The sequence below is a fragment of the Homo sapiens genome, chromosome 5 (assembly GCF_000001405.40).
Source record: "Homo sapiens chromosome 5, GRCh38.p14 Primary Assembly".
NCBI classification, from domain to species: domain Eukaryota; kingdom Metazoa; phylum Chordata; class Mammalia; order Primates; family Hominidae; genus Homo; species Homo sapiens.
Window position 1 is genome coordinate 6,873,011 of NC_000005.10, and position 25,028 is coordinate 6,898,038.

Sequence of the window (25,028 nt, forward strand, 5' to 3'; positions counted from 1 at the left end):
ATGACCCATAGACTTGACATCATGTTTGTAGTCTAGCTTTCTTTTTCTTTTCCATAGTGAGTATATCAATGGTTTGGTAACTATTTTTCAATTTTTCGAATTCGGAATTAAACAAGTACTACCTTCATTGAAGTACAATGCTTTTTATTACGTGTTAGGTACAGCGTTGGCTGGTAGTTTTCTCTCTTTTCTTTGCAAATCAGATTTTAGAAAAATAAATTGATTTCTTAGAATCACTGGTTGTGGTGCATGCTAGTGGGGGGACCACTGCTAATGGAATATTGAGCACATTAGATAAAAGGTCATGTCCTTTCAGGAACATGGACAGAGCTAGAGGCCACTATAGAGGCAAAGTAATGTGAGGACAAAACACCAAGTGCCACATGTTCTCACTTACAAGTGGGAGCCAAATGATGAGAACACATGGACACAAGAGAGGAACAGCAGACACTGGGGCCAACCAGAGAGTGGAGGGTCGGAGGAGCGAGAGAAGCAGAAAAAAATAACTATTGGGTACTAGGCTTAGTATCTGGGTGATGAAATAATCTGTACATTGAACCCACGTGACACAAGTTTACCTGTATAACAAACCTGCACATGTACCCTGAACCTAAAATAAAAGTTAAACAAACAACTAAAGCATGTGTGATCACAGAGGTTTCAGTAAGCCCTGGATAATTTTAGAAAGTTCACAGCCAAATCCAACAAGTTCATTGCTCACCACCTTTTATAATATTTCTTCATTGTAGGACATTTGTAATTCCGTCTTGGTTTGGCTTCTTTCAGAAGGCTGGATCAGGGGAGCTGGGTCCTTTCTTTAATTTCTGCTGTTATTTGAGTATTTCTTTCTCTTTGGCCTTGACTATCTTTGACCCTTGGCCATTATGATAGTCTCTAGTCTCACTCATTTCTTTTTTAGATAAGCATTTTGTATTTTTAGCTGAGGTTGGAATGGGACTTTTTTCTAGTATATTTTGTAACAAGCTATTGGTAACACAAAGTTGTAGCATTTTATATTCATATTGAATTTGACGAACTTACTGTGCTTCTAGATTAGTTCCAATGGCTTTTAAAAATAAGTTCATTTTTTACCCCCTAGGAGTCCCCCTGTACTTCTAGGGGGAAAAAAAGATACTTTCACCTATTTTCCAGGTTTTCTTCTTCTTTCTGCTTTGTACCTTATAATATCTATGTTTAACTTCCAGAAACATGGTAAACATTAGAGAACTTATCAGTCATAATGCTCTGATTCTTGATTTCAGTGGGAAGGTTGCTTGAGTTTTAGATAAGATTTTTCTTATTGATTTAAGATAGCTGTCCTTTATCATTTGAGTATTTAAAAAAATCTGTTTTGCTAACAATTTTAATCTGTAATTGTTGTTGAATTATACCAAAGGCCTTTTAAGTGTCCATTAAAATATTTGTTTTCTGATTTGATCTTTTGAGGTGACAGGTTAATATTGTAGTAATAGATATCTTAATGTTAAATTGCATATTATATTTTGTTGAAATGTTCTTTAAATGCATTAATTCAATTTGTTGATAGTTTAGGATTTTTATATCTCTATTTACATGTATGCAACCTCTGTCAAATGACGGTATCAGATTGTGTTAGCTACTTAAAATGAATCAAAAAACTTCTTATATTCTCCTGCACATTCTATCAGTGTCATTAATGATCATTTCCTTGACTCTGTAAAAGAATTACCCGAAGACTTATAAACATATTTGTGGCTTTAAAATGTATATAATTTATATGTTTATATACAATATATATTTTACACATAAATAAATATTTTCTATGTTTATATTATATATTTATGACATATTTGAATACATATAAATATGCATTTATAATATATTTATATATTTATGATTTACATTAATATATTATAGTAATATGTTTATATAAATATATACTTAATATGTAAATGAATATCATAAATATATAAACATAAACATAAAAATATAAAATAGAATATTATATATAATACATAATATGTAAATAATATATAATTATATATTATATATAAGTATAAAAAATAAATAATACATATTCTGGAGTAGTTCTAGATTCAGAAATCTCAAAGATAAGATAGAGTGTGTTTACATACCCACACCCAATTCCTCCTGTGAACATCTTACATTAGAATGGTACATTTGTTACAACTAATAAACCAATGCTGGTACATTTCTATTAGCCAAACTCCATTCTTGATTCAGAGTTCCTCGGTATTTTCCTAACGTCGTTTTCTGTCCTAGGATCTGATCAGGAAGCTACATTGCTTTTGGGCACTGGGTCTCCTTAGAGTCCTCTTGGCTGTGGCAGTTACTCAGATTTCCCTTGTTTTTGTGACGTTGGCAGTTTTGAGGGACACTGGACAGGTGTTTCACTGAATGTCCCTCTACTGGGATTTGCCTGGAGTTTTTCTCATGCTTAGACTGGAGTCCTGTGTTTTGGGAAGGAGGACCACAGAGGTGAGGTGCAGTTTTCATTGCATCATATCAGAGGCATGTGAGTACCAGCATCATGATTCATCACTGCTGATGCTGGCCTCGTTCACCTGGCTGAGGTCCTGTTTGTCAGGTTTCTGCCGCACCTGCCCTTCCATTCTGTCCCCTTTACGAGGAAGTTGCTATGTGCAGCCCACGCTTAAGGCATGGCGAGATATGCTCCATCTCTTTGAGGACAGAGTATCTGCATAATTTATTTGGAATTCTTCTGCACGCATGGGATATTTGTCTCTTCTTCCCCATTTATTTATTTATTCAATTATTTATTTATTGCAGAATGTCTTCATGGATATCAATCTTATACTTTTGGCTATTATTCAAGACTAGTTTGTTTATTTTGTTGCTCAGTTTGTTCCAGTTCTAGCCACTGAGAGTGTCTTCGGTTGGCTCTTGTGTCCTTTTGACATTGTGAGATTAGCTTCTTTTTTTTTTCTTTTTCTTAGCATTTTCTTACTTTCTGGCATTATGAGATGCTCCAGGCTCATCACAGAATTAGCCATTTCTCTAAGGAGCCCTGGTTTCTTTTATTGCAGAATGGTATTAGAAATTAAGATCTGGGCTGACTTCTGGGTACCTAGGGGTTAACCCTGCTCCACGAGGAGCAGCTAAAAGATAAAAATAAAAAATAAATAAAAGAAATTAAGATCTGGCTGCTAGGTTTGTGGTCTTTTATGGAGGTAATTTTTTTTTTTTTTTTTTTTTGAGACAGCGTCTCACTCTGACACCTAGGCTGGAGTGCAGTGGTGCCATCTTGGCTAGCTGCAGCCTGCGCCTTCCAGGTTCAAGCTATTCTCATGCCTCAGCCTCCAGAGTAGCTGGGACTACAGGTGTGTGCCGCCTGGCCCAGTTAATTTTTATATTTTTTGGTAGAGACGGGATTCTCTATGTTGGCCAGGCTGGTCTTGAACTCCTGACCTCAAGTGATCTGCCCGTCTCAGCCTCCCAAAGTTCTGGGATTACAGGCGTGAGCCACTGCGCCCGGTCTATGGAGGTAATTTTTGATGACAAGTATTTTGAATCTTTTCTCAAGTTTGACAATTGAGATTTTTCTGGGAAATCAACTTTTCTGAGATTTTAAGTTTAATTGGCATATACTTGTACAAAGTATGTTTTATTATTTAAAAAATGTTATTTCTATATGATTTTAAGCAATTTTTGGATTATTTTAGCAATTCTATTTGATATCTTCTTTTAACTTATTAACATTCATTTTGATCTTTACTGTTACTTTCTTGGGGACCACATTTTTTCCACTTTTTATGTACATAATTTTTTTTTTTTTTTTTTGCGTAGATGCTTAGTTTTTATCCATGGTTTCTCTTTTAATAGTGAAATCCTTTAAAGAAATGAAATTTGCTTTTAAATAGAACTTTGGCCACATACCCTGGGATTTGACAGACTTCAGCCCTAATTAAAATGGCAGACTCTTTAGTTGCTTGTGAGGATGTTTTAAAAGATCTGGATAGAAGTGTTTTCATTGAAGCTGTTACCAATGCCTATTTTTTTCTGCTACCTTATAATAAATAATATATTTATTACTTATAAATAAAGTCATTTTAAAGCAATTCTGTATCTGTGGTGTCTGCAGGAGTAGAGTACATCCATGAATACATCTTTATGTGCTTTACGTTGTCCACAGCCTTGGTGTCAGTAATCTGTAATACTGAGAGTTTTAAGTCCTGCTCCATTTTCGTTTTTAATCAAATGTTCTTGTTATTTCAATCTCCTTTTCTGTGCAGATTTTGAGGAGACACTATTTGACTCTTGAAAATTTCATGATTATTTTCCTTGTCTTACAAATTATCCCTTAACTTGATGTAAATGGTCTTCATTGTCACATTTAATTCATTTTGTCTTGAATTCTACTTGGTCTGCTGTTAACAGTTCTCTGATTTCTTTTTTGTCATCTTCATCTTTTTGTTTTTAACTTGTGTACGTTGTTATTTTAGTCTGTCTTCTGTAAGCAGCTCATTGATTGACATTGCTTGTTAGCCCAGTTTGAGTGTCTCTGTCCTTTCTGTTAGGTAGAGGTTTGCCTGATTAAATATATTACTGCTGGGCTGGGCGCGGTGGCTCACGCCTGTAATCCCAGCACTTTGGGAGGCCTAGCAGGGGTGGATCACCTGAGGTCAGGAGTTTGAGACCAGCCTGGCCAACACAGTGAAACCCCGTCTCTAATAAAAATGCAAAAAATTATCTGGGCGTGGTGGCAGGAGCCTGTAATCCCAGCTACTCGGGAGGCTGAGGCAGGAGAATCACTTGAACCTGGGAGGCGGAGCTTGCAGCGAGCCAAGATCTCGAGCCATTGTACTCCAGCCTGAAGAACAAGAGCGAAACTCCGTTAAAAAAAAAAACATATATATTTTGCTGCTAAGGGCATGTTTAAACTGTCCTCAGATCTTCTTCCTCCTCCTCTTCCTCCCCCTCTTCCTTCTTCTTCTGTAGGGAGGTCCTCCCTCAAAGCAATATCCTGGATAGCGGCCATATTTTCAGTTCGAGCTCTCCAAGGAGAAGCCAAAAAATCACGTTCCCAGCCACCCTCAGGCAGGGATGCAGGCACGGAGCCAGCTCTGCCCATCATATGCACCCATGCTCTTTGGATCTTGAAGAGCACAGGGTGAGTGCCTGGTGGGCAGAGGGGACCTTATGAAGTCCATTCTCTGGGGTGAGGAGCAGCAGCTCTCTTGTTAGGCAGCAGGGGTGATGGAGGGTCTGGGTCGGAGGTGCAGGTACTCATCATCATGGGGCCCGTGTGTGATGGCACAGCATAGAGATCTTCATAGGGCACGACCCCTCGTGAAGACTGCAACATCCTTCCTGGCTGCCCAGTGCCCACACTGGACTCTTTTGCTGGATACCTATTATCTTCAGCAATTTCTTCCAACTTAAACTGGTCACTGTGGGGTCTCTCCTTACCCCAGCTGGCCAGCGTGGGGCGTCTTCTTAGGGCATGGGGTCTTTTCAATAAAACCCTGAATGATACCAGGAACAAGGAGCTAAGCTCTCAAAACCTGTAATGTCATAACATGTAGACTGTGCAGGGAAGGACAGGTCTCCCGTGCCAGGGATCTCACCAGATGCAACAGCACCAGCAGCACCAGGAACAATTGTGTGCATGCCACAGGGTGCCCAAGAGGTGGAGTCTAAGGGCCTTCCTTTCCTGGGTTTCCTGGGTTGCATCCTCGACTGCCTTTCTCAGTTAGTTCACAGAGGCTGTCTACTGATAACCCACCAGTCCCTGAACAACATTATACAAAAAGCCATGCAGTGAACCGAATGTCCACATCCCATCAAATTCCTAAGTTGAAATCCTCACCAGCAAGGGTATTGGGCAGGAGGGTTTTTGAAAGGTGGTTAGGTCATGAGGATAGCATCCTCATGAATGGAATTAGTGCCCTTATAGGAAGATACATGAGCACTCTGGAACTCTCTCCACCCTGTGAAGATACAAGAAGTAGGTAGACTGCAACCTGAAGAGGGCCCTCCGCAGAACCCACTGTGATCTCAGACTTTCAGCCTCCAGAACTGTGAACAATGAATTCCTGATGTTTATAAAACATTGAGACTATGGCCCTTTGTTATAACAGTCTGCAGTAAGACAGCTGGTGACACATTTACATCTCAAATTGAATATTCAAATCAGGTTATACTGCTCATTTAGGGTCTTCAGGCTTCAATGAGTTTATGATTTAGCCTGGTGAGCAAGGGGTCTCTCTACAAAGTGTCACAGCTGGCAGACTCCAGAGAGCATTTTCCTGGGACCATCACTGGGTGTGGTAGAGTAGGGGAGGCAGCTGTCTATTTCTGGTAGGTGCAAATGCCCTCATTTCCAGAACAAAATTCTTGGTCGTCTCTTTGGAACTGTCTATCTTGTTCTGGTACGGAGAGTGGAACATGTGGTATGTTTTTTGAGAGTATGATTTACAATCTGTTTCCATATTTGCTATAGGTAGAGGGAATTTTTCCCAGATGGAAAAATGTGGTTTGTGATGCTTTTGCAAGTTTTGCTTTCTTTGTTTTTCTCATCCCCAGCCTCTCACAAAGTCCCAGGCACCACTGTGTGAAGCTCGGTGGCCGCAACACATGCCCCACACTTAGTGCTTTAAACCCACACAAATGTATTATCTTACAGTTTTGTAGGTCAGCTGTCTGATATGGATCTCACTGGACTAAAATCCAGGTGTTGTCAGGGCTGTGTTCTTTTCTGGAAAAACCATTTCCTTGCCTTTTCCATCCACAGTTTTCCACCCACATCGCTCCACCTTCAAGGCCAGTAATGTTGGACTGAGTCCTTTTGAGCCACCATCTTCTGGGTCTCTCTCCAATTTTCTCATCCACTTTGACCCTTGAGATTACACTGACCCTTCCCAGATAATCCAGGATAATCTCCCCATCTCAAGGTCAACTGATTAGTAACCTTAATTTCATCTGCCTTTGCCAGGTAATCTAATGTGGTCACAAGTTCACATGTGGACATCTTTGAGGGTCAGTATTCTACCCAGCACATACTTAGTGGTTTATGCAGTTGTGGAACATAGTGGTTGTGCTGAATTTGGGAGGAGGTGTGTCAGTCACGGCTAGTGTATTACTTTGTTTTCATGCTGCTGATAAAGACATACCCGAGATTGGGCAATTTACAAAAGAAAGAGGTTTAATGGACTTACAGTTCCACATGGCGGTTGGGGGGCCTCATAATCATGGCAGAAGACAAGGAGGAGCAAGTCATGTCTTACGTGGATGGCGGCAGGCAAAGAGAGAGAGCTTGTGCAGAGAAACTCGTGATCACACGGTCCCGCAATAGGCTATCTGCAAGCTGAGGAGCAAGGAGAGCCAGTCCAAGTCTCAAAACTGAAGAGCCTGGAGTCTGATGTTTGAAGGCAGGAAGCATCTAGCATAGGAGAAAAATGTAGGCTGGGAGGCTAGGCTCATCTCTCCTTTTCATGTTTTTCTGCCTGCTTTATATTCACTGGAAGCTGATTAGATTGTGCCCACCAGGTTAAGGGTGGGTCTGCCTCTTTTGGCAGCACCCACACAGACACACCAGGATTAATACTTTGTATCCCTCAATCCAATCAAGTTGACACTCAGTATTAACCATCACAGTTAGCATGTCACCATACAAATGTAGAATTTCCTAATTCGACTTTCAAGTGGGACAAACAATTATTTGGTACTATGGAGTGCCAGTAACTGCAGTGCACTAAGCTGCTGCACAGAGGCTCCTAGCTATGGTGATTTTTGCTTGGGATTGAAATATGTGTAACAAGCTTCATCATGGACCTGAGTGAGATGGTTTCAGTATGGAAAGGTCAGAGGCTCCTGCACTTCTCTAGGACATGTGGACTTCACAGCTATCTCTTAAAATTTTTAAAATAATTTTAAACGTACAGAAAAGTTGCAAGATAATACAGAGAGTTCTTTTCTACCTGTCACCTAACTTTCCCTCTTGCATAACCATAAATAAGTATCAAAACTAAGAAGTTAACATTGGTACATTACTGTTAGCTAGCTGCAGGCTCTAATTGGAGACCACTGGTTTTCTACAAATGTCCTATCCTGTTCCAGGATTGCATCTGGTATCCACTTGGTACGTGGCTGCAATGTCTCCTCTCTCAGTCTGTGATAGACCCTTAGGTTTTCTTGTTTTTTATGTTCTTGACACTTTTGAAGTGTACTAGTCAGGTATTTTGCAAAATGTCCTTCAATTTGGGGTCATCTGATATTTTCCTATGATTAGATTTAGGTTATGCATTTTGGGAAATAATACCACATCCAATTTGTAATCTGGATTTTGTGAATAGGTAGACATTTAGTTCACTTTCATCCTGACTTCCCACAGGTAACATGCCTCCTTGTATTATCTCCCAGTCCTTTGCCCCTCTCAGGAACTAAGTGTTAGAAATCTTCCCAACTCTGATGACCCTTTCCTCCAATGCATTTCATCAACACATACACATGGCTTGGCTGTCACTTGAAACTGCTTCATGTATAAGACCATAGTCTCTGGATCTACTTTTCTTCAATAAATCCTGTTACTCTTATACTTCTGTGCTTTCACTTATTCTGAACTTGATGCGGTTTCCTCATTCTGATCTCTAGTTTTACACCTTTCCATTTTCTTCCTCCTGCATCCTTCCAAAGGTTGTTTTGAAGATAACATGAGATGATGAAGGGACAGCATGGCCTGGAGTCCAGGTGTGAGGCAGCACTGGGATACAAACCACTTTCTAGCTTTGCTCATCTCTTCTTCAGTCAGTCCCTTATTCATCTTTCATCCATGCTGTCATTGGCAAGGAATTGACCTTCTGTTGCCATTCTCATTTTCCCTTGGTGAATTCAGTCAATCCTTTTGCTCTCTGTTCGTATTATGCAAATATAAAAATAAAAATAATCCTGATAATGTGTCCTGCTGAAAGAAGAAAAAAACTATCTGATCTCACTGGGATCCAATGCAGTATGACTCTCCCTTATCCATTTTTAAACAAGTTCTAATTCTGAACACTTTCCCCTTGCTAAAGTCCCTAAACAGATCTCTTTGCTACACATCCCACCAGAATGTCAAATAGCATCTGTCCAGCTTGCTTGCAAAGTCCTCCTCTCCAGCTCCCAGTATACCAGGGTCTGTGCATAGTCTTCTTTCCTTTCTCCTCACTGTCTTAGAGGCAAGGTCTGTTCTTTTCTCTGAGGCTAACCCCTTTGCCACCTTTCTCTGGGCCTCCCTGTGGCAGCAATCAGTCTTTCTCTGTCCTTTGCAAGTCCTTTCTCTTAACAACAAGATACTAGTATCTTCTTTATTACAAAGAAATTCTGTAGTCTGCTATACTTACCTCCCTTCTTACTCACGTTCTCCAAAGCTTGAAATCATGCTCTGCCTCCAGGTCCTCACTTCTTATACTAAAATCTGGCTTTGTTTCCTCCACACTATTGGAATTCTTCAACTTAATTGAAACACATAATGAGTCTAACTCTGCTTGGGCTGCCCGTGACATCTGCCGTAACTAAGACATATCAAAGCCCACTCCTCTAGGCTTCCATGACAATCGGAGTAATGTCCCAACTCTCACTGTCATCCCTCCATCTCCTTTGTGAGTGCAGGTTGCATGGTGCATTAGTCTGTTCTCACACTGCTATAAAGAAATGCCTGAGAATGGGTAATATGTAAAGACCAGAGGTTTAATAGGCTAATGATTCTGCAGGCTGTACAGGAAGCATGATGCTGGCATCTGCTTGGCTTCTTGAGGCTATGGTCTGGAACTGACACCTACTCACTTCTAACCACCTTCCACTTGGTAAAGAAAGTCTACATTGTGAAGTCTAACATAAAGGAGGCAGGAGCATGTACTCTGCCCATGCTGAGAGACATGCAAAGATACAGGGAATGGGAAAGGATGTAAAACTCAAGCACATGGAGTGCATGAAGCACTGCAAATGACAACTCCACTAGCACAGGTGACATAGCATAAATCTCTGTCCCACCTGTCTTCCCGTCCAGATCCATCTCTCTCTGTTCTCAAGTTTCTTTTTCCATGCTAGATCCTACTTCACCAAACTACTGTCTGCATCCTGGACACCTGTGCTCTTCTCTCTGCACTTTACACATATGCTTTCCTGTGCCTAGAAAGACTTTCCCTCCACCCTGGACTTGGAAAGCTCTACTGGCCTTTCTAGATCCAGCATTGATATCTCTGCTTCCAAGACATCCTCACTTTCCAGGGTGGATTAGGCTCATTACTCCTGTTCCTACTACACCACTCTCACTGCTCTCTGCTCCATTTTTGGAATAAATTATTTATTATTCCTATTCAGACTTTTCCAGAAGATTACAAGCTACTTGACTTCAGGGTCTTCATTGTTGCTTCTTGCATAGAATCAAGTCAATTCTGTATGCTCAATAAATATTTGTTGAATATATAAGTGGATGTGTGTATGGGTGACTGTTTCTGAGCAGTCATTTCATTATCTAGTTCATGTACTAAAATGTTTGAACATTACATAATTATGTTAAAAACAGATTTAAAAATTTCACACACATTCAAAACCATTTAGAACAACAATTTTTCTCTGTCCAACTTTTGTGATCATCTTTGCTTCTTTTAATAGTTAAGCTAATTTAGACTTGAATATTGTTTTCCCTCATATTTTGGATCAATTAGATTTCTTTTCTTTCAACAACATATATTTTTTGGTGACAACTGCATAGCAGCTTTTTTTGTTTTTTATTTTGCCTCAGGCATAAAGCAACCATATTTCTCCCATAAAAGGTGAGCTCAAAATAGACCCCTTATTACCATCCCCAAATTAATTCAAATACCACCCAACTTTTACTTATTGTACTTCAGAACCTGTGTATGGATTATTCTAATGTTCTGAAAAATGAAGTGAATAAACTTTCTTAATATAAGCTCAGCTAGCAATAATTGAGTCACATAAAATGTGACCTGTCAAACTCTGAAATTTGTTTATGTCCAAATGAAGGACTTTAGGAATAGAAAATTCAAATATAGACCAAATACTTGGACTTTGAATTTGTCCAAAAATCTGAGCAACACTAGAAATCTGTTAATTCATGTTAAACTAGAAACTGAAATTTTTATTTGTCAAATACAAAAGAACTACATTATTACATTCTAGTTGTTGTTTGGCCTTAAATTTTATTTATTCAATACACATTTTGGTAGGATCAACTTCCTGTAAGGCACAAAGACCAAAATGATATCCTTTCTTGAATCCTCTTACTAGGACCCTTGGTTTCCCATACTGTGCATTCCCCCTCACCGCACTGAGTAATAAACAAAACTTGTTCAGCCACAGGTGTGTTCCTGGTGCCCCTTGACTGGAGGATATTGACAGCACTTAACAGAAGATCACAAATAATATTGACTGAAACCATAAGGTTTTATTGTCTCACTAAAATGTTGGGTGGTGGGCAGTCCAGACTGGTGTGACAGCACCTGGATGTCCTCAGAGACCAGTCTTCTGCTTGGCTGCTCTCAGCACGTGGCTTCCATCACCAAGTACAACTCATGGTCCAAGAGGCTGCGAGAGCTCCAGCCATCACACCTGCATCTTATGCAGCAGAAATGGGAATATAGAGAAGGTGAAAAAAAGGATGTCCCTCCCACTTGTATCAAACCCTTTTAAGAAGACTTCCCAGAAATTTCTGACAAATTTCACTTATATTTTATTGACTACAACTTAGTCACATGGCCACACCTTGTCAGAGGGCAGATGGGAAATGCAGTCTTTTGGCTGGGCACATTGCTGCCCCAAAGACAGTCAGGATTCTGTTACCAAGAGACAAAGAGAAAAGTGACAAGAGGTAGACAACGTCATCTCTGCTATAAAGTGCTTCTGCTTCTTTACAGGTCAAATAAAAATCATGTTTGATTAAAACTATACCTTGCTCCCATGGATCGAATGTCCACGGTTCCTAAAAGATTCTGGGAGCTGCGTGGTTTGCGTCTGCCCTCTGCAACTCTGGCCTTGGGTCAAAGTACTCCTGTTAGGCTGGTCTTTCTTGCCTCAGGACTTGGACACTCTGTTACCTGTGATGGAGGAAATCCCACTACATTTTTTCATCTCCATATATTCTATTCATCCTTCAGGGACCCGTCAAATCCTCTGGCTGTAAAATCCAACTGTTCATTAAGCAAATGAGCCTCTTTGGGGCTGGCACTGTTCTGGGCACTGGGGACAAAACATCCTTCTGACCATGGCACTTCTATGCTGGGAGGAAAGAGACATCCAATACATACATGAATACATTGTTCTGTAATGGGCCAAGTAGGATAAGTCCTGGAGGAAAAGTGAGGTTAGAGCTGCCAAGAATCTTTGGGATCTGAATGGAAAAAAAACGTATTCAGGACCCCTGGTGAGAGTGGACGGGCCTTGTGATTGGGGTTGAATTGCAATATAGTCCGGATTCCTCTTCAGCTCTGGACCCCACATCCTCCTCTCCCCTATCCTTTCTTATTTTTCCTGAATAGGAAAAGGGGTTAGAAGGCAATGGGATGGAGGTGAAATTTTAGATGGAATGTCCATGGAAAGTCTACAGAGAAAGTAACATTTGAGTGGGAGCCTCAAGGCGGGGAGAGAATGAGCCTTGCTGGTGGCTGGAAGAGCATTTTGGTGAATAGCTGTGCAAAGGCCCTGATGGGGGCACTTGATTGACTTATTCAGGAAACAGGAAGGAGGCCAGTGTGGCTGAAACAGAGAGTTTGAGAGGCAGGAGGTAGGAGATTAGTTCTGGGAGGTGATGGGGATCAAATCACACAGGGCCTTGGGGGCTGGTATGAGGCCTTCAAGTGAGATGTCCTTTGGGGAAGGTGTGTGTGACATTATCTGATCATATCGTATCTTTTGCTTTGTCTTTCTGTTTAGCATAGTTCTTGCCAGATGGAAATATTTGATACAGTCTGAATGAAACTTTGAGATTGATTTGCATTTTCTTAATTAGCGATGAAGAATTGATTTGATTATTCTAGAATAGAATATTTAAATCTTTTTTAATTTAAATTTTTTATTTCAATAGCTTCAGGGATGCAAGTGGTTTTTGGCTTCATGGATGAACTGTAAAGCAGTGAAGTCTGGGAGTTTAATGCACATGTCACCCAAGTAGTGTACATTGTACCCAATAGGTAGTTTTTTATCCCCCACTCCCCCAACCCCCTGAGTCTCCATTTTCTACTATACAACTCTGTACGCCCTTGTGTACTCATAGCTTAGCTCCCTCTTATAAGTGAGAACATGCAGTATTTGGTTTTCCATTCTTGAGTTACTCCACTTAGAATACTGGCCTCTAGTTCCATTCAAGTTGCTGGAAAAGACATGATTTTGTTCTTTTTTATGGCTGAGTAGTAAGAATACTTTTTAAATAAAAGATTTACTTTTTCTTTACTCAGACTTTGAATGTTTGAGACTACCTTGGCCACCAGATTGTGTTACCTGGAAGTTTGGTCCCAAGCAAGAAGCCACAGGGAGAGACAGCGAGGCAACTCTATGCACATGCAATGAACACTGAGACTGATATCACTGAGACTTTCAGAGGACAATGGACTCATTATGGATCTCACATCTTTCCTAGACTCTGTTCTTTGCTCTTGGGTCTTCTCTACTCAGACTACCTGCCCCCAAATGCTCCATCCTCACCAAAATATAAAGATTGAGAAGAAAGTGGGACAAAGGGTGTGGAATAAAAAATGTAAGATTGGCTATCACCCCAAGGTGATCAAATCTAATGTTGGCTTTGCTCCAGCGGATCTGTGACCAATTTTGTATCAGTCCCAGAGCACAGCGAGCCTGTTCAGGCTCTTGTAAGTGAGGACCTGTGGTTGAAGAGTAAAATTTTTGTGACTTTAATCCTTCTTTTCTCCAGACTGGAGGGTCATGATGGTACAGTGGGAATACCTTGGGCCTGGCTGCCAGGCCGACCTGCACAAAGATGGTTGTCCCTGTGGGAGGGGCACAGACATTGTGCAGGTTGCACACAAAAACAGAACTAGGGTCTCTGGCAGCGGAAATGAGTCATACAGAGAGCCGTTTAGAGGTTTCTCAATACAGTTCTTGGGCTTATTAAGGTTGAGTAATGGCAATTAGTGTGGAGGCAAATTGGAACAACAGTGACAGTGTTGATTATGAAGCAAATGAAGAAGCTCAAAAGGAAGGCATTTTCTTGGAGTGCCTCAAAGAATTCTGCCCTTTAATTATCTGCCCTCTCAGTGTAGAGAGAGTGAGATATCACTGGAAAACACTGGAGGGCCATTTGTGGTGACACAGAAGCCTCTCATACAGACAGGAAGCAAATGAATGGCAGGGGATGTGAGTTTGGATGGAAGGGCTGTCATGGGGATTCAGATTGGATTCTAGAGTCAGGTGCATTGTGGTCCTTGCCTGATGCAGGAGGTTTGGACTCAGATTTTTCTGAAGACAACATAAGCAGAGAAACAAGGTGTGAAGACAAGCTTGTTTGAGGATGTTGGCACCATGACAAAGTTATTTACTGTACCCCATCCCAGTGCCCAGATGAACAATATGAACATGATAGGGATGCAGTTCACATGTGTTCCATTTTAGAGTTTGCTTTAAAAATTTATATCCATGTCATAACCTTCTGATTAGGATTTGAGAGAACTGATTGTCAAAGTGAACTATATTTTTAGGAAAGTGTTATTTTATATTATTCTGATGCTATAAAAGCCAAGATTGCTAAACTGAAGGACTCTGTAACGTGAGAAGCATATCATATTCTAAGTATCCCTAAGGTGTCTCTCTTGACCTCAGCACTAACAGCTGGTAATGGCAGGGATTGCTGTTATTTCACATGTGACCCACGATGGTGAGACATACTCACCCACCCAGGGCGAGGGGGAAGAGGGGAGATTGCCACATATTTCCAGCTGGCATAGCAATTGTAGTATTAAGAAGGTGAAAGATTCATATCTAATCAAATAACCTCAGATAAGTGTGTCCTGGGCTGTTGTCCCTGTGGCTTTAACAAGTCACTTGGTGATGCACAAACTGAATGCAGCTGAACTCTGCCCAGGGCTGTGATGACTGCTTTTCATAGCTTTGAATTCTATTAAAAACCAGAATGAAAATGCTTCTTGTAAAATGCTTGTCTTTTAAAAACGTAAACAAGATGATATAATTTATCCAGAGTTGAGGAAATATATCCAGTTTAAATTTTATATACATTTAAAGGCAGCCTACATATAACATAGAAATGAGCTATCTATCTATCTATCTATCATCATCATCGTCATTGTCATCGTCATCATCATCATCATCACCTATTGTATTTGTTTTTGCTCTGTAAGTTACCACACACTTAGTGGTTTAAATCATCGCCTAATTATTCTCTCACAGTTCCCTAATTCAGAAGCCTGTGGAGGCTCAGCTGGGCTCTCTGCTCAGTGTCTCACAAGGCTGAAATCAAGGAGTCGGCCCAATAAGGCTCTTCCCTGGAGGCTTGGAGGATGAATCCCTTTCAAGTTTCTTCAGGTGGTTGACAAAACCCAGTTTCTCACAATTGTAAGACTAAAGCACCTGCGTCCTTGTTGTATGTTGGCCAGGGGTTGTTCTCAGCTGCTGGAGTTTCCCTCAGCTCCTGAAAGCTTCTGTCTTATCCCTGAATGTGGCCCTGTTCTAAAATACGGTGTATTAATAGAAAATTTGAGACTCAGTAAAGCCAACAGATTGTGAGATAATTGCCATTAAAAAATACAGTTTGTTGGTCACAGTCCCCAGAGGAGCAAGTTACACCACATCACAGGTGGCCACCAGGTGGGTCAGGAGGGAGAGGGAGCAGGAGAAATGTGGGCAAGAGCCTTGACTGTGGTTTTCATCAGGAGGGAACAGGTGAGGCAGGGCAGCATGCTCCAGATTGGTGAGTTTGAATAATTTCAGCAGGCTCTGAAGCGTAGGGGCTGTCTCTAGTTGTGGGACCAGTGCAATTTTCCCATAGAACTGAAGCTTTAGAAACTTACATTTGTTTTATCTGAGTTCCTTTCTCAGGAAACTAATAGGCCATCCAGATAGTACAATATCAGGAAACTGAAATTTCCCAGATCACTGTATCTGGACAGTAAGATGCACCTGCTGCCTGCTAAAAAAAACTCCTCTTTCTTATGCCTCCTTAATTCCCTGCTATGTAAACCCTTTAATCAGTTAGAGATTAATTTGAGATTGATGTTCTGTTTCTGGCTGACGTCACCAGCATTAAAGTCTTTCTTTCCTGGCAACACTTGTTGTCTCAGTGATTGGCTTTCTGTGTGGTGAGCAACTGGACCTAAGCTGAACCCCTAGTGTTTTGGCAGCAGTTGTCTGATACCTGGCCTTGGGATGATTAGGGCAGGGGTGCATAGTGGTCTTCTGTGAAAAAAGGGGGTGATTGAGGGTATGTGCTCTGGATCGGTTGATTTGCATTTAAAAGGCATATTTCAGGTGAGCTGTTTGCTATGTTTAGAACTGGTTAACCCTGGGAAGGGCAGTCTCTCCAGAGTCAGCAAGGCCCCAGATGTTAAAGCATTAGAATACAGAAAATAAAAGACATGATTAATACAGTCACCTCCATTTTCAAAGCCAGCAACCGTGCATGGAATTCTTCTCATGCCTTGATTCTCTCTGACTTCTCATTCTGCCCCCATCCAGAGAAAACTCTGTTGTTCAGGGCTCATGTGTTTAGACTAGACCCACCTGGATAACCTCCCTTCCAAGTAACTCAGAGTCAACCATTAAATAACCTTAATTACATCTGTAAATTTTCTTTTGCCATGTGCATGCTGTAGTCATGGGATGATATCCCATTGTATTCACAGTCCTGGAGATTAGGGTAGATTAAATTAAGGCATTGGCAGGCCATGTTGGGATTCCATATATATATATATATATATATATATATATATATATATATATATGGAAGATATGAAAGAATTATATATATAGGAAAATATGGAAAAATTATATATATATAAAAATATATATATAGTGTTTGATCATTGAAGAACATTTGAGGCTAGGCATGGCCCAGTGCTTTGGGATGCCAAGGTGGGCAGATAAAATCACTTGAGGCCAGGAGTTGGAGACCAGCCTGGCCAACATGGCAAAATCCCATCTCTACCAAAAATATAAAAATTGGCCAGCATGATGGCACACACCTGTAATCCCAGCTACTGAGGTGGCTGAGGTACGAGAATTGCTTGAACTGAGGAGGGGGATGGAGGTTACAGTGAGCTGAGATTGCACCACTGCACTCCAGCCTGGGTGACAGAGCAAGACCCTGCCCTGTCTCAAAAAAAATAAAAAATAAAAAAGAATATTTGAAAAAATATGAAAAACTACACAGAGGAAAATAAAAACCACTTATCATTTTGTCACTATTAATATGTTTCCTTTGAGTTTTTATCATCCATATTATTTTCACAGCTAGAATAAAAATGTATTCACAGTTATGTGCCCTTTTGAATTTCAAAAAATTTTCCATGTCATTGTACACTCCTTGTAATAATAATTGTCAGCATCTGTAAACATTTACAAATGAATAACTTAATATCGGGTATTTAAGTGATCTCAAAGCTTTGTTAATATTTATGATTATTCTGAAAGGAGGTTCCTAGAAATAGTATTACTAGCTAGGAAGCTGTAAACATTTATGTCTCTTGATTTATGCTCTCAAAACAGCAGAATCTGGTATCTTTCTCTTTGTCTTCTTGTTTCCTTCCTGTCTCCCTCTCTTCACTTTTTTTAGTATTTAAGTTTTCAAAAATAGAATATAAAGATAGAAAAGATATCCCAAATTCATCACTTTTTTTTCCTATGAACAAAGAAAAACTCATTCTTCATCATCTACTTCATTGTCTACACAAAGCCACTTGAGTGTGAAACCCATTCTACACCTGCTTGACTATTAATAAGCAACTGCCTTTTAGTATAGAATAATCAGAGATGGGACTCACTTAAATGATATGATTTCTGAAATCCCCACTAGTAGTCCAAGGAAAGATAGAAGCTGCTTTTCTTTCTAACATGCTTTTCCCTGGTTCCCAGGATCATGTGCCAACCCGGTACTTATAGGGAGGTTCCTTATGGAATCCCACAGGAGTCCAATCCTTGAGCACTTTTCTCGCTTTGGTTTCTGTGAACCCCTACCTGTCCATGGTATATTCTCTCATCTGTCTGCTTGTAATTTTCCCAGGGGACCATTGGGTGAATTAAGTAGCTATTATCCACATAGGTTAGTGGGTTTGTTTTAAATAGGTTTATTGTTTTGTTTGTCACATTCTACAGCATTGAATTGTAATGTAATCTTGTCCTACAGGCAGAGGCTCACCTAACATGAAAGGTTTTAATTTTTGCCATTTAAGCACTACTGTGGACTGGATTTCAGTAGATGGGCTCCTTAAATCAGATGATGCTAATTAGTCCACAGACTCCTAGGGTTAGAGAAGGTGGTAAAGGGGTCTCCTGAAAAATTTGATGGATATTTCCAATGAGTAACAGCCAAGTATAAAGAGGTCCCCAGAGAACCTCTGCCTGGACTGCATACTGGGACGAGTGTGCACTGGGGTCGAGTCTGGGGAAGTTCAGGTTGTTTGTCGGGCCGGGGAGGAGCCTGGCCTCTCCTGATCCTGGGTGGTAACCTGGGATTCAGTCTGGGAGGCAGGAGGCCCGCTGGCAGGACTCTTGCCTTGCTGAGAGTCCTTGTTTCCCCCTTTTTTCCTTTTCACCCAATAAATTCTGCCCTTCTTACCCTTAAAAGTGTCAAATCTTTCATGGTCGTGTGACAAGAACCCAGCTTTTAGTTGAACTGAGGAGAAAGTCCTAAAACATTACCACTTCAATTATTAACTGTATCCATGTGCCTGTTTCAGAAGCTTCCATGGTTCATTGCTGCTATTGGTCATCTCTACAAAAGGGAATGTCTGAATGGCAGACATACTTGGTAAATTCAAGACATTGCCTTTTCTCCCTAGCAGGAATTCAGCCTTGTTAATATTTAAGATTTATCAACAGTTCTCTTTAAGGTCCAAACCCTTACTTATGCTAAAATTGATCATTGTGCTAACATGAAAGGATTAATCAGCTGCAAATTTAATTAATCTAATGTGATTTTCTATAGCTTAGCCTGTTTCACATTGTTCACAGCCTAACATGGAAGCCGACTTTACCAAGGATCTTTGAGGTGGGTGCTGCACACTGGTTCAAGCACATGAGTATAGAAGGGTACCTCTCACTTACCCCTTGATGGATCTCAAAGTTTCAACTCAGTATTTGCTTCTCACCGTACAAAATTTTTATACTACTCTAAATTATGCTATAGTAAATTATGTTAGTTTGAAGTCTTATGGGATAAGAAATTAATACTTTGACAATAAGTGTTAGGTAGCTGGGGATGAAACTTGATTACTGCTAGCCTTTTTATTTTTATTTTTTGTAAAATGCAATTAGGCCTATAAGCAGATAGGCTTGCTTCTACACCCCTAAATTCTACTTATCTGCTCACCTAGTCACTGAGTTAGTCCTCCCCTAGAAGAAAGCCCCTCACAGCATGATCGAGAACAGAGTAGCTTGCGTGTTCTGTGCAGGTAGGTAGAATGTGCGGGGGAGAAGAAGGGACTGCTCAGGCATGCCCACTTTCTTCTCCCAAACCCACCAATGGGTGAAGCCATTTCAACTGCCCTGACTGGGATGAGTAAGGGATAGGACAAAGGGCTGGGAGTGACATTCCTATGTAGCTCCTTCTCTGCGCAAGACAATGAAAAGGACAAAAATGATCTTTCTGACGGCCTTCAGGACAGGATGAGTGAACCAGCCAGTTATTGTGCATTTTCCAGAAGGCAGATTTGGAAGCTTTTGTTTATAAACACAGCTTTCACTAAATGCTTAGTCTAGTCTGTGGATTCCCTAAGATCTCTGCATTTTCTCTTTCTCTCTCTGTTTCTCCTTTAGGCCTCACAGATATATTTTGTTCTGTACCGAGTCTACCAACACACGGTAGAGTGTATGAGTCAGGCTTTTCTGTGATAATGCTGTGTATCAAACAAGCCCAAATATCAGGGGCTTACAAGAGCAGGTCATTTTTTCTAGCTCCAAGTTTTGCACCTTGGCAGGGCTTGGCTGCATCAGGCTCCAGACTGTGTTGGGTTAAGGTTTCCTCTGTGTGTTTTCCCACTGTGGGACCGTGGGTACGTGGGACCTTTCTCATGGCAGAAGACAGAATCACAAGAGCTGAGTAAAGTCATTAGGTGGCATCTGAAGCTTCTGCTTGCATCATGCCTGCTTGTATTCAACCAGCCAGTGCAACACATGTGTTCGGGCCCAACATCATGGGGAGGGCAGGGTGATATTTGCTAAACAGCAATACAATCTACCAGACAAAAGATAAAGTGGGGCAGGCAAACATGGGAGTGGCCAGGACTGCATGTAGTGACCCATTTCTTTGGTTTGGTATCTTCTTTCTTGCTCTGGAGTCAGATAGAACTGGGTTTGAATCCTGACCACAGACCCATGAGTTGCACTAGGTGATTTGTGACTGAGAGAGGCAGGTTGAATAGCCAGATGAATTCCTGGGGCAAGAGTATTCCACAGGAAGAGAATGGTAGAGACCAAGGCAGCAGTGTATTTTGGATAATGGTGACCCAGCAGTTCAAGGAAGGAGCGACGTCTGAAGAAGTTGCCATGGAGGAGGGATGGTGTATTTACATATTTAGGTAGATAAGAGAAAATAAAGCTAGTTTATTGGCTCATGTGAAAGATTCCAGAAGAGAAGGAGAGGCTGAAGTTCAGAAGAGAGAAAGACCACAGGCAGATCTGAGGTACCGGCAGAGATGCCGTCATGAGCACAGATGGGCTTGTCTCCAAATCCCTTGGATGACCAGGGTGAAGATATTGGTTGGTGGGGAAACAAAAGAAATTGAATCACTCTTGTGGATGAACAAGAAGGGAAATTATCCAAGCATGGCGTAGTAGGGGCTGCATGTGTGTTCTGAAGAGAGGAAAAGACTGATGTGTCACAGCAGTCATGAAGAGAGAGCAGGTTAGGGGTAGAAGGAGGGTAGTGCCATTGAGATGAGAAAGATGACTTTGCTGTGACCTCAGTTCCCATATATCTGCATTTTCCCCATCAGCACTGAGCTTCTGTGGGCTAGAAGCTGGGGAAATAGGCGGAAGGCCCAGCAGGTGCCTGAGCAGAGGGCTAATGTGCTGGTTTAGACCAGTCCTGGCAATTAAGCCTCTGATCCCAGCGTCGGGGAAGGGATTAAGCCCAGATGTGGTTCATTCTAGTGTCCAGGAGGACAGCAGGAGATGCAGTGGGAAGGAAACTTTCAGAAGCAAACCCTGACTCTATTACCAACCCCCAGTGTGGAATAGCGCGGAAAACCATCTACAACCCACCACCCCCCAGCTTTTATCTTCTCTTGACTCACTCTTCATCAGGATGGGCTGCATAATTTTCAAGGCCTGGTGCAAAAATTAAAAGGCAGGGACCCTTGCTCACAAATGATGAATTTCAAGATGGTGACAGCAGAGTATTAAGCCAAGCCTGGGGCCTTCTAAGTGCAGGGCGGCCCTGTGGGACTACGGGAGTCATATGCCAGGAAGCCAGTTCTTAGCCCTTGGCTCTCAGCCCACATGCCTCCTGTGCGTTTTCTCCCCTCTCCATTTTTGAATACGCCACCTCCTCTCTCCTCATTGTTCCTGCTCACCTTCTACTGTAGAATCAAAATCCATTTCTAAGTCAGCTCTTCATGCTTCCCCAGGACTCTTTCAGTGTCCATCAGCGCACTTATCTTTCCATGCTTAGCATATATTCTACATAAGGTTGTTGAGTGAATGAGTGAACAAATAAATAAATGGTGAACTTTGAAGAGTCACGTCCAATGGAATAAACCAGAAGGAACTCTGTCCCCAGTACCCCTGTACGGGAATGAGAGTCTCCAGATTCCTCTCACACTGAAGAAAGTGTTATAAGAGTTCTGATGTGCTGCAATCACTTAATTCATGAACTTGTTAAGGCTCTGCCCCATAACAAAAGAGATCGGAAAATGCATGGTGTGAAAATTATGATTTACTCCTAAACCTTAAAAATGTACATGACTTAATATTTGCTTTAAAATTGGTCTTTGCTTTTTTCCCCAAAACTATTTGAGCCTGTTGATAAGAAAAGAAACATGAGCTGAGTCATTCGGATGGACACAAAACCTCAACATTATTAACAGGCAGGGGAAGGCAAGGACACTGCACACAGGTACACGGTAATATAGTTCTTATGTTTGAACATTGGACTTGACAAAGAACTTCTTTTTTTTGAGATAGGGTCTTGTTCTGTTGCCCAGGCTGGAGTGCAGTGGCGCCATCTGCCTCCTGGGTTCAAGAGATTCTACTGCCTCTGCCACCTGAGTAGCTGGGATTACAGGCATGTACCACAGGGCCTGGTGAATTTTTGTATTTATAGTAGAGATGGGGTTTTACCATGTTGCCCAGGCTGGTCTCGAACTCCGGAGCTCAAGTGATCCACTTGCTTTGGCCTCTCAAAGTGCTGAGATTACAGGCTTAAGCTACTGTGCCTGGCCAAATTAGGTGCAGAACTTCTTGAAGCTATAGCAGAGACAGGGGAGACACGGTTCTATAGGATTCTGGTGGTCGGATCATGTTCTGAGTGGTGCAGAAGACGGCACTGTAGATGTGTCATGGATGGACCCGGCATCCCAACCTGTCTAGAGAAGCCGCATCTCTCCACAAGGATCCTGGGGTCCCCAGCACAGGGGCTGACAAAGGGATCATTTTTCACCTGATGCTTCAGCCCCAGCTACTAACTGGAATTCATGAGAACGAGTCTGTCAAGGTAGGGGCTTCCTCCACTGAGGCCAGGTGGGTGCCACAGTCCAGGACCACCCAAAGAGTGCAGGGCCAAGTAAGGAGCCCAGGACCACCCAGGCCATGTTCACCAGGCACCCTGAACCCCAGGCTCCTGGCTTCCACTTGGAAAGACAGGGCCAGCCTTGGGGAGTTAGAGCAGGAGGGATTTGCCCTGAGCCTTGAGTAGAGCAGGTCTGCATCACCCTAGGGGGTCTTTCCCAGCTGGTGCTCTGGAAGCTCACCCAGGCCAATCTTTTCTCACTCATTCCAGGGAAGCCCATGTAGAAAGAGAAGGAACGGGGCTCGGCACAGGGAGGCACTGTTTAGTTTTACTTAAAAGCTGAGAGTATATTACCAACCTGTGGTCTAGTGAGGGCTTACGTTTGGGGAGATGAGCTCATGTCATCAGGAGTGCTGCTTCCTGACCTCCTAGCTCAGTGGGAAAACAGCTTAGAAAACCTTGTGGGATCAGGAGGAGCATGTCCTGGTGCATCCTTCTGTCTTTCTCACATTGGCTGTTGACAGTCACAATGGGCCTTTGACAGGAGCTGGGCAGTAGCTAATTAGGAGCTCAGAGGGGAGATGTTCTGTGTTGTGAATTGAAGGGTGTCCTAGGGCTGGAATTTTAGAAGTGTCAGTAATGGTGTTTTCATTGTTATGTAAATTAAACAGGCACACTCCCACCCTCCCAACAGAGGATCAGCCCACCTGACACACTTGACAGAGGTGAAGAAGTTGGGGAGAAAGGAGGTTCATAGGGTTGTGCATAGGCAAAAGGCAGAAGTGGCATTTCTGTGTGAGACACCCAGAAAAGGTAAAAATATTTTAATGTTATACATCCCAAGGACAGTTAAGTGATTTTCCTTCAAATACAGAGAATGATCTAAAACAAAGCTAAGCAAAATTGTACACAATTTGGAAGAGACACAAGCTTAATAATCCAATCTTTATGACTAAGGCAAAATAGAATAAACAATGAAAAATAGCAGGAACTTTTGAAATAGCAAGTTTATGGAAACTTTCTTTGATCATGTTGAAACACAACTGAAACTAAATATAAATTATATTTGTATATAATATATACATTATATTTTGATATGGTTTGGCTGTGTCCCCACTCAAAGCTCATCTCAAATTGTAATCCCCATAATCCCCACCTGTTGAGGGAGGGACCTGGTGGGAGGTGACTGGATCATGGGGGTGGTTTCCTCATGCTGTTCTTATAATAGTGAGTGAGTTCTCTCAAGCTCTGATGATTTTATAAATGTTTGACAGTTTCTCCTTCACATGCGCTCTCTCTCACCTGCCACCATGTAAAACATGCCTGCTTCCCCTTCCACCATGATTGTAAGTGTCCTGAGGCCTCCCAAGGACATTATTCACAGAACTAGAAAAAACTATTTTAAAATTCATATGGAACAAAAATGAGCCTGAATAGCTAAGGCAATCCTAGGCAAAAAAAAAAAACCAACCAAGGCTGGAGGCATCATGCTACCTGACTTCAAACTATACTACAGGGCTACAGTAACTGAAACAGCATGGTACTGGTACAAAAACAGACACATCAACCAATAGAACAGAATAGAGAGCCCAGAAAGAAGACTGCATGCCTATAACCAGCTGATCTTTGACAATGCTGACAAAAACAAACAATGGGGAAAGTACTCCCTATTTGATAAATGATGCTGGGATAACCATATGCAGAAGATTGAAAGCGGACTCCTTCTTTACATCGTATACACAGATCAACTCAAGATGGATTAAAGACTTAAATGTAAAATCTGAAACTATAAAAACCCTGAAGACAACCTAGGCAGTACCATTCAGGACATAGTCATGGGCAAAGCTTTCATAAGGAAGACTCTAAAAGCTATCATGACAAAAGCAAAAATTGACAAGTGGGATCTAATTATACTAAACAGCTTCTGCACAGTAAAATAAACTATCAACAGAGTAAACAGATAACCTACAGAATAGGAGAAAATATTAATATTTGCAAACTGTGCATCTGGCAAAGGTCTAATATCCAGCATCTATAAGGAACTTAGATACTTTTACAAGAAAAAATGAAACAACTCCATTAAAAAGTGGGCAAAGGACATGAACAAACACTTTTCAAAAGACATATATGCAGCCAACAAGCATATGAGAAAAAGCTC

General features: G+C 41.4%; 1 long non-coding RNA gene across 4 annotated transcripts in view; it reads left to right on the forward strand.

Annotated features, from left to right (window-relative positions):
- Positions 1–15,110, forward strand: part of LOC105374642 (uncharacterized) — a 41,400-nt gene extending 26,290 nt beyond the window's left edge. For all 4 annotated transcript variants that reach the window (NR_188250.1, NR_188251.1, NR_188253.1 and 1 more), the window contains one exon: positions 13,416–15,110. This is a non-coding gene — a long non-coding RNA (uncharacterized LOC105374642). The remainder of the gene's footprint in view (positions 1–13,415) is intronic.
- The last annotated feature ends 9,918 nt before the right edge of the window (positions 15,111–25,028 follow it).